The sequence below is a fragment of the Homo sapiens genome, chromosome X (genome assembly GCF_000001405.40).
Source record: "Homo sapiens chromosome X, GRCh38.p14 Primary Assembly".
NCBI lineage: Eukaryota > Metazoa > Chordata > Mammalia > Primates > Hominidae > Homo > Homo sapiens.
This window is the reverse complement of record NC_000023.11, coordinates 30616523-30626943: the sequence shown is the minus strand read 5'-3', so window position 1 is coordinate 30626943 and position 10421 is coordinate 30616523. Positions and strand designations below refer to the sequence as shown.

General features: G+C 41.5%; 1 pseudogene; it reads right to left on the bottom strand.

The window, feature by feature from the left end:
- On the bottom strand, positions 8780–9552 carry CKS1BP6 (CDC28 protein kinase regulatory subunit 1B pseudogene 6; annotated as a pseudogene).

Below are 10421 nucleotides of genomic sequence, written 5' to 3'. Positions count from 1 at the left end.
TGTAGTACATTTATCCTGACTACAGATCAAATGCCCTTTAGTGAAGAAGAACATATTGAGAAATCACAAATCATTGCTGTGTTTACATTTCTATTATAAGAGTTAAACATTTGTTTTAAGTAAGGGATTATTACTCTTAGTTGCTTCCTAATGAAGGTTGTTTAGCAAAGCCACTTCAAAACTGTGAGAACATGAAAATTTTGCATCTTTCTCACTTCGTATTTTATAGCAGGAATCAAAGTTCAGTCAGTGCTCTAACTTGCAGAGACCTCCAGCTTAGGTTAATAAAGAACTAGTTTTTTGTGTGTATTTTGTCTTTGTTGGGCAATATTTAATGGACTTGCTAATAGTTCTTTGGAAATTGAAGAGTTAGTTATGGAAGACCGAGAGAAGGGCAGGGAAAACATTACTTAGGTGAAGTAGCCTGAAAACTTAGTTCTAAGGCCATAACTTATTAACTGAATGACCTTGGGCAAATCACCTTGCTGAACTGAATTATTGGAATTGCACTTGAATTGAGGAAAAGGTAGCTGAAAAACCCTAACATGGAACAATTAGTATATTGGTCCTGAGCAAGCACTCTGGAATCAGACTGCCTGGATTCAAATTCCAGCTCGGTTGCCTACTGCATTTTACCTAGAGCAAGTTACTCAACCTTTCCATGTGTAAATTCACTATCTATAAAATGTGGATGAAAATAGTACCTACCACATAGAGTTGTATGATGGTTAAATGAGCTGGTATATGTAGAGCACATAGGAAGTTCTACTACTTCCATATAGGAGTTAGTATGCTTACAGTGGTCTTAATATTGAAATCGGTTAATGATCATTTCACGTACAGAATACTTTGCCACATACGATGCTTGAATTTTTATGATCATCAAGAAGAAAAAGGCCTTATGGATGACAACCAAAACCATCTACGCCCACAGAGCTCACTATTTACAATCATTAATGTAACTTTACTACTCCATCCTCCACTCTTTATTTTATTTTATTTTATTTTATTTTTTTGAGACAGAGTCTCGCTCTGTGGCCCAGGCTGGAGTGCAGTGGCATGATCTTGGCTCACTGCAAGCTCCGCCTCCCGGGTTCACGCCATTCTCTTGCCTCAGCCTCCCGAGTAGCTGGGACCACAGGCGCCTGCCACCACACCTGGTTAATTTTTTTGTATTTTTAGTAGAGACGGGGTTTCACTGTGTTAGCCAGGATGGTCTTGATCTCCTGACCTCGTGATCCACCGGCCTCGGCCTCCCAAAATGCTGGCATTACAGGCGTGAGCCACCGCACTCAGCCTCATTGTCTTTATTTTTAAAATTTTAAAATGTTTTTAAATTTTTTATTTTTTAAAAATATTTTATTTGAATTTTGGTGGGTACATAGTAGGTATATATAGATATATATATATATTTATGAGGTACATGAGATATTTTGTTACAGGCATGCAATGCATAATAATCACATCATGGAAAATGAGGTATCCATCCATTCAAGCATTTATTTATTCCTTGTGTTACAAACAATCCAATTGGACTCTTTTAGTGATTTTAAAATGTACAATTAAATTATTATTGACTACAGGCACCTTGTTGTGCTATCAAATACTAGGTTTTATTCGCTGTTTCTATTTTCTGTGTACTCATTAACCATTGGTAACTTGCCCCCACCACCCACCACTATCCTCTCCAGCCTCTGGTAACCATCCTTCCATTCTCTATGTCCGTACATTTTATTGTTTTGATATTGAGATCCTACAAATAAGTGAGAACCTGCAATGTTTATCTTTCTTTGCTGGGTTTATTTCACTTAGCAGAATGACCTCCAGTTCCATCCATGTTGTTGCAAATGACAGGATCTCATTCTTTTTTATTGCTGAATAGTACTCCATTGTGTATAAGTACCATACTTTCTTGATTCATTCCTCTGTTGATGGACACTTAGGTTGCTTCCAAATTCTAGCCATTGTGAACAGTGCTGCAAGAAACATGGGAATGCAGATATCGCTTCAATACTCTGATTTCCTTTCTTGTGAGTAAATACAGTATATCCAGTGGAATTGCTGGATCATATGGTAGCTCTATTTTTACTTTTTTGAGGAACCTGCAAACTGTTCTCCATAGTGATTGTACTAATTTATTCCCATCAACAGTGTTTTTTTTTTTTTTTTTTTTTTGAGACGGAGTCTCGCTCTGTTGCCCAGGCTGGAGTGCAGTGGCGTGATCTCGGCTCACTGCAAGCTCCGCCTCCCAGGTTCACGCCATTCTCCTACCTCAGTCTCCCGAATAGCTGGGACTACAGGCACCTGCCACCGCGCCCGGCTAATTTTTTTGTATTTTTAGTAGAGACGGGGTTTCACCGTGTTAGCCAGGATGGTCTCAATCTCCTGACCTCGTGATCCTCCTGCCTTGGCCTCCCAAAGTGCTGGGATTACAGGCTTGAGCCACCGCGCCCGGCCTTATTCCCATCAACAGTGTACAAGGGCTGTCTTTTCTCCACATCCCCGCCAGGATTTGTTATTGCCTGTCTTTTGGATATAAGACATTTTAACTGGGGTGAGATGATATCTCATTGTAGTTTTGATTTGCATTTTTCCATTTCTCCAAATGTTGAGCACCTTTTCATATGCTTGTCTGCCATTTGTATGTCTTTTTTTGAGAAATGTCTATTCAAATATTTTGCCCATTTTAAAATTGGATTATTAGATTTTTTCCAATAGAGTTGTTTGAGCTATTTATATATTCTGGTTATTAATCCCTTGTCAGATGAGTAGTTTGCAAATATTTTCTCCCATTCTGTGGGTTGTCTCTTCACTTTGTTGATTGTTTCCTTTGCGGCACAGAAGCTTTTTAACTTGATGTGATCCCATTTGTCCATTTTTGCTTGTGGGGTATTAAGAAATTTTGCTCTGTCGCCCAGGCTGGAATGCAGTGGCATGATCTCAGCTCACTGCAAACTCCACCTCCCAGGTTCAAGTGATTCTTGTGCCTCAGCGTCCCAAGTAGCTGGGATTACAGATACCCACCACCATGCCCAGCTATTATTATTATTATTATTATTATTATTGTATTTTTAGTAGAGACAGGGTTTCAACATGTTGGCAAGGCTGGTCTTGAACTGCAGACCTCAGGTGATCTGCCCCCCTCGGCCTCCCAAAGTGCTGGGATTACAGGTGTGAACCACCGCTCCTGGCCTTGCTTTCCAATTGGATGCCCTTTATTTCTTTTTCTTCTCTGATTGCTGGAGCTAGGACTTTCAGTACTCTGAAAGAGACTCTCCTAAGAGACTCTTGCCCAAGAAGATCATAACTGCAAATAACTGTTGCTCATTCTGGGAAATTTTCGAAAGACATATTGACTCTTCTATAGAAAGCATCAAACAACGATTTATACCCCAGATATTTTGAATTCCTTTTCTTAAAATCCTCATCTTGCCTTTTCTACCAATCCTAAACTATTATTCTTACCCAATAATAAGACCCTTAATTGAAAGGCCTGCCTTAAGTCAGATTTCAAACTCTCATAAATATCTTAACTTTCCGTTCCCTGCCCAAGATTCTGTCATGGTTTCTTTCTTTTACTTCAATAAGAATAAAGTCAACTTTGTCTGATCAACAAGTCGTCTTGATGATATATATGGGAAGCCAGTCTTCCACTTGGATTAATGGAATTAACTCTGAATTTGAGTTAGAAGTTAAGAGTTTAAGTCATAGTTCTGCTACTTGGTCCACTAATTTTCAGATACCTCTTCTGTAAAATGTATGTATATGAAATATATACATATATATAAAAGTGTCTAGTATAGTGTGTGATAAAGGATACTTAATAAATGTTTCTTACATTATCCTTACTTTTCTTTTTGGTTCCCTGCTGGAGAAGGGAAAGTCGGGGAAGTGAGTATACTGTTAGTCTGTTTAAGCCACCATCTCTGGGTAAGTGCTCCTTGGCCTTTAGTAACTAACCTTATAAATACAGCCAATGCTAGTTGAAGACCCTGGGGGATGGGCATACTTCTCTCTGCCAGGGCCACCATAGTTTTCTGAAAGCAGTGCACACAAGACCCAGAGCAAATACTAACTTTTCATACCTGCAGAGAACTAGTAGCTAATGCTTATGGATGGAGGGCTGAGGAGGACCAGCACTCACCTACTTTCTATACATAAGAACCTTGTGTGTATGCAGGAGGTGTCCTATGTAGGCATTTCTTAGGCCTTCCAAGGGTTTTCCCCATGAACATCATCTTGCTCACTGACTCCGCTCTGCTTTTTTCTCACTTCCTGTGCCAGTTATTGATTCATTGACTCTGAGGTCCATATTCGCCCTTTTTGTCTGCTATGGGAAAATGGGTCTGGGCCCTTTAAATATGCTTCTTTTGCCAGCTGCACAAAGTTCATCTTTGTCAGTAGAAGGTGCTGGAGAGACATTGTAGGAGAAAAGTATTTCATTTCATGCTCTGGTATGCTTGCTCAGGCACTCTCCTGTAGGGCTCTGGGCTTCTCCAGTGTAGGCAGTTTCTCCAGTCCCCAGTCCCCACAGTGCACAGCTGCCAGCAGCATGTAGTGTCCAGCAGCTTCACCTGGCCCCCACCTTGGGTGGTTTTGTAGCAGAGTGCCTCTCATGAGAAACCTCCCTGTAAACATCTTCCTGGGAATCCTTGATGATGGATTTTTTTTTCTAGCAAGTTAACAGAAGGTGGGTTTCTAGCATTAAAGTATGAAATTTCAACAAATTGATTTTTAAAAATAGCATTGACTTTTATTAGTAATTTATGAACTGGGCATCATCCAGTCTACAAAATAGACAGAAACTCCACTGGGCATAGCAGAACAGTCAGTTTTTGTAAGATAACTTTGGCAGGAACAAGGAAGCAGCATAGTGCAAAAGGTGGATTGGTTAACAACAGGTTACTTTTCTTGTATGAGTTAAAGCAAAGGGGATTTTCTTTTTTTTTTTTTTTTTTTTTGAGACGGAGTTTCGCTCTGTCGCCCAGGCTGGAGCGCAGTGGCGCGATCTCGACTCACTGCAAGCTCCGCCTCCCGGGTTCACGCCATTCTCCTGCCTCAGCCTCCCGAGTAGCTGGGACTACAGGCGCGCGCCACCATGCCCGGCTAATTTTTGTATTTTTAGTAGAGACGGGGTTTCACCGTGTCAGCCAGGATGGTCTCGATCTCCTAACCTCGTGATCCGCCCGTCTCGGCCTCCCAAAGTGCTGGGATTACAGGCATGAGCCACCGCGCCCGGCCGCAAAGGGGATTTTCTTATCCTGCTGGCTCAGGTTGCCTTGGCCCCTTTTGGTTGGTTGCTGTGAATCTCCTGTTTTTCTTTTAGAAAACTGGCCTGTTTGGGAATTTGGCTCTCATTTCTTTCCTGATTTCTTGGAAGGTCAAATCTTACAAGTAAACAGCTTAGGTTTCAGTTTGGTTACATGGAACCTTAGCATGAGTGATTCCATTTTGGGCTGGTCTATTGGGGTATAGTACAGCAGCTCTGTCCAACTCAATTGCCTTCCATAAATTTTATTTAACACCAGCAAGTTCTGCTGGTGAGACACCACAACTTCTCTGTCAGTGAGTCATAACCATGACTTGCTGACGAGGTCTGGATCTCATCCCTGGGTGAGGTAATCTTCCTTGGCAACTCTATTTTGGGACCTGGTGTGTCGACTTCTATATCTGCTGTTCTTACATTCTGTAGTGTTCTCCTTACCTTTTACTAGGCAGTCTCTCATTTCTTCAATCCTCTGTTATAGTTAATAATTGTTTTTTTTATTTGTTTTGCTTTGTTTTGTCTTGTTTTGTTTTGTTTTGACAGTTTTGACAGTCTTGACTGTTTTGACTGTTTTGACAGTCTCATTCTGTCACCCAGGCTGGAGTGCAGTGGTGCAATCTCCTTTCACTGCAACCTCTGCCTCCCAGGTTCAAGTGATTCTTGTGCCTCAGTCTCCCAAGAAGCTGGGATTACAGGTGCCTGCCACCACCCCCAGCTACATTTTTTTTTATTTTTAGTAGAGACAGGGCTTCATTCACCATGTTGGCCAGGCTGGTCTCCAACTCCTGACCTCAAGTGATCCACCCACCTCGGCCCCCCGAAGTGGTGGGATTACAGGCGTGAGCCACCATGCCCAGCCAATAATTGTTTATAACATTTCTTTGTGTGTTTTTCCCCTGATTGAACCCAAACTGATATGCTTCTCAAGCCATTTCTTTATCTTATCCTCTTTGATTTAATGTGGTGTACTAGGTTGTTCTTGCATTGCTATAAACAAATACCTGAGACTGAGTAATTTATAATGAAAAGAGGTTTAATTTGCTCATGGTTCTGCAGGCTTTGCAGGAAGCATGCTGCTGGCATCTGCTTGGTTTCTAGAGAGGCATCAGGGAGCTTTTACTCATGTTGGAAGGTGAAGCAGGAGCAGACATTTCGCATAGTGAAAGCAGGAGCGAGAGAGAGAGAGAGAGCCGGGGAAAGTGCCACAGACTTTTAAATGACCAGATCCCCTGTAAACTCAGAGCAAGAGCCCATTTTATCACCAAGGGGATGGCCCAAGCAATTCTTGAGGGATCTGCCCTATGATCCAAACACCTCTCACCAGGCCCCACCTCCTACACTGAAGATTACATTTCAGCATGAGATTTGGGCCAGGATAAACATCCAAACTACATCACTGGGAAAGGAGACAAGGCCCTGCCCTCAGTATTTGCCAAATCTCCCATTAGAAATAACTAAATCACAGTACTCACCAGTCTTTTCTGGAGCTTTGGAGATTTTGCAGCTTCAAGTACCCCTAATTTCAATGTCTTTTTCTCCTCCTTCCAGTTACCGCTCCTCCAAGGCAGACAGTTGCAGAGCCTTGTAGTCTGTATTATGGAAAGAGGGTCATAGGGAAGGGGGGCATAAAGAAGAGGAGCTCTAGTTGATCTTCTAGAGAATTTGAGAGCAAACACATCCTGCCTTCACAGAAATTAATTTTCTTTGCAAACTTTCTCTACAAGAGGCAGAAGACCAAGTTATATAAGAAAAATCCATTGTTCCTTTTATTTATTGGGAGCTAGAATCCTGTCTGAATTACTTTAAAAGAGCATTTTGGGCCATGCGCAGTGGCTCATACCTGTAATCCCAGCACTTTGGGAGGCCGAGGCGGGTGGATCACGAGGTCAGGAGTTCAAGACCAGCCTGGCCAACATGGTGAAACCCTGTCTTTATTCAAAATACAAAAATTAGCTGGGCGTGGAGGCGCGCGCCCGTAATCCCAACTATTCGGGAAGCTGAGGCAGGAGAATCACTTGAACCCGGGAGGCGGAGGTTGCAGTGAGCCGAGATAGCGCCATTGCACTCCAGCCTGGGTGACAGGGTGAGACTTCGTCTCAAAAAAAAAAAAAAAAAGAGCATTTTGCCTTCTCTCAGCCATAATTTACATTACAAGGCATGATACATTATCTGGTAATGTCTGGTCACAATGATTGCAATCTCGTTCCTCATTGAGATGGGCTGTGTGTGTATTTCCCTGTCTTTTAAATTTAAATGAAACAATCTCAAATTTCAAAAAATAAGACAGGCTACTAACAAAATACATTTAGAAATAATTTATGAAATTGAGAATGACTAGCATTTATTTATAAAATTGCTTCCCCTTTCTGTACTAACTTTTTACTCGATTGAAGTTATTTTCACATTCTTTTAACCCACAAGGCAGCTGCTATTTGACCATGTCCCTCATTCTGTTCATTACTTATGAGTGTTTGTAATCCTCTCCTGCATCTTCCATTCCAAGGCAACCACTGATCTGTTTTCTGCTGCTATTGATTAGTAAGCATATTCTAGAGTTTTATGGAAATGGAATCATATAGCAGGTACTCTTTTTTGTTTGACCTTTATCACACAGAAAAATTATTTTGAGATCCATCCATGTTGTATGCACTGCTAATCCATTCCTTTTTCAGTTCAGCAAATGTATTTCTCAGTTCAAAGATTTATTTTTATTTTAAATTATTTCAATCTCTTTGTTAAATTTCCCTGATAAGTTTCTGAATTGCTTTTCTCTGTTATCTTAGAGATCACTGAGTTTCCTTGAAGCTACTATTTTGAATTCTTGGTCAGAGAGGTCACATATCATCATCTCATTAGGGTCAGTTACTGGTTCTTTGCTTTGTCCATTTGGAGAGGTCATAGTTCCCTGTTTGTTGTTGTTTCCGGTGTTTATATGTCTATGTCTTTGCATTGAAGGATGAGTTATTTATTCCAGTCTTCTCTGTCTGGCTTTTTTTTTTTTTAATTGGATATATTTGCTTAGAAGTTGTTTACTGCTAGGTCACTGCCTCCTTTTAGCTCTAGGTGGTGCTTTAAGCTCAAGTTCACCTCTGCTCTAGTAAACAATCGGCGCACTGCCCAATCCAAATGGGGGAGGTCCTAAAGGGGATATCCCAGCATTTTAGGAAGGCTGTCTAGTGGTTCATGCCCAGGGGATCTGTAGGATGAACCTCCTATAGCATGGTGCTGCTGAGCAGCCACTCTGATTTGGCGTCATGCTGCTGAGCAGCCACTCTGATTTGGCGTCTCCTGCTTATGAGTTTTCAGGTCTGGGGATGGTAGTCCTGCCTCCCGCCTTTGTCACTGCCTGTCCTCAGGAATATTTTTCCCTTCAGGCACTCGCAATGCTTCCAGTGGGTTAAAGCAGAAACATCCTGCCTGGGAACCCAAGATGGTGGGGAAGTTGATTGTGCACCTCAATCTTACTTTTTCCAGTGTAGAAACAGGGAGTTGGGGGAAATTGTTTTTTTTTTTTAGATTATAAAAACTTCCTCTTTAATCAAGGCTTTTAACATGAACAGATTTCTTGAATAAAATGGAAAGTTTCCAGTACACTGAAACATAAATCCACAAGTCACCATACATACAACACCCGGCAGGAAAAAACAAAAACAGCAAGTTTACATGATCCCTGTAACAGCCATGGTCTCAAACTCAGATGCTTCCTCCATCTGCCAAGTGTGTTCTGCATACAGAGCACATCGTGGCTTCTGGGGTCACACTCAGCTGAGGCTGTGGGTCCACAGAGCACTCATCTGGCTGGGCTATGGTGGTGGTGGCTCTACTCAAGAAGCAAAGCAGCTACCAGCACATTCAAACAGTGTGTTGAACATCTTTTAAATATCAAAGTGAGAAACAGAAGTCAACATAATAATGTTATCAGAAAGATGTTAGGAAGTAAGGACAGCTGTGTAAAGCTCGAGGCTGAAAAGTAGCTTGCCAGCTTCATTTCTTTGGCTTCTTGGGTAGCGGGCGCCGGAAGAGCAAGACGTGCGGTTCTGGTTCATGGATCATATAATGGACCCATCCCTGACTCTGCTGAATGCCAAGATTCCTCCATTCAGATTCAGACATCAAATGGGTTTCAGGGACCAGCTTGGCTATGTCCTTGGGCAGCATGACATGTCGATACTCAAACTCCTCGTCGTCGTATTTGTCCGAATAGTAAATTTGTTTGTGCAACATGATTGCTTGGTTTGCTAGCCTTCAGCCCTGCACCGCCAACCTCCAAGCAACTCCCAACAGCATGTGCTCTCACCCACTTTGGCCTCCAGTTGGGGGAAAATTTTCTATGCACTTGGTGCCAGGCAGAATGGGGCAAGGGCACTGCACTGTGGATGTTGAAGTTTGATTCTCTTACCGTCGGCTCAGAGTTTTTTCACTTCTCTGCTGCCCTGGAAACGGTCTCATCTTCCTATATAAGATCTGGGATGTTTCTGTTGATAATCTTGGCAATGTATATTTGTTTTTGGTTGTCTGTGGGTAGGAGAATGAAGCGAGTTTGCTTCTATATCATTATTTTGGAAAAAGAAGTCCCATTCTTTTTTATGGTTTAGTAATATTCCATTGCATGATGCATCACAATTTTTTTTTTTTGAGATGGGGTTCTCTCTGTGTTGCTCAGACTGGTCTCAAACTCCTGGGCTCAAGCTATCCTCCCACCTCAGCCTCCAGAGTAACTGGGATTAGAGGCACATACCACTATGCCTGGCTTACATAATTTTTATTCATTCACTTGTTGATGGATATTCGCAATGTTTCCAGTTTTTGGCTATTGACAAGTAAAGCTGCTATGAACATTTGTATACAAATCTTGTGTATATATGCTTTGATTTCTCTTTCACTGGGCAAATACTTAGGTATATGTTTAACTATTTGATAAACTGCACAATTGTTTTCTGAAGTGGTTGTACCATTTTACATTTCCACCAGAAATTCATAATAGTTTCAGTTGTTCCACATTCTCACCGACACTTGGTATGATCAGTCATTTTAATTTTAGACATTTTAATAGGTGCGTATCAGTTGCTCATTGCGATTTTAATTTGCATTTCCCTTAACTAATGGTGTTGAATCATCTGTTAATGTGCTTATTTGACATCTATATATCTTCTTA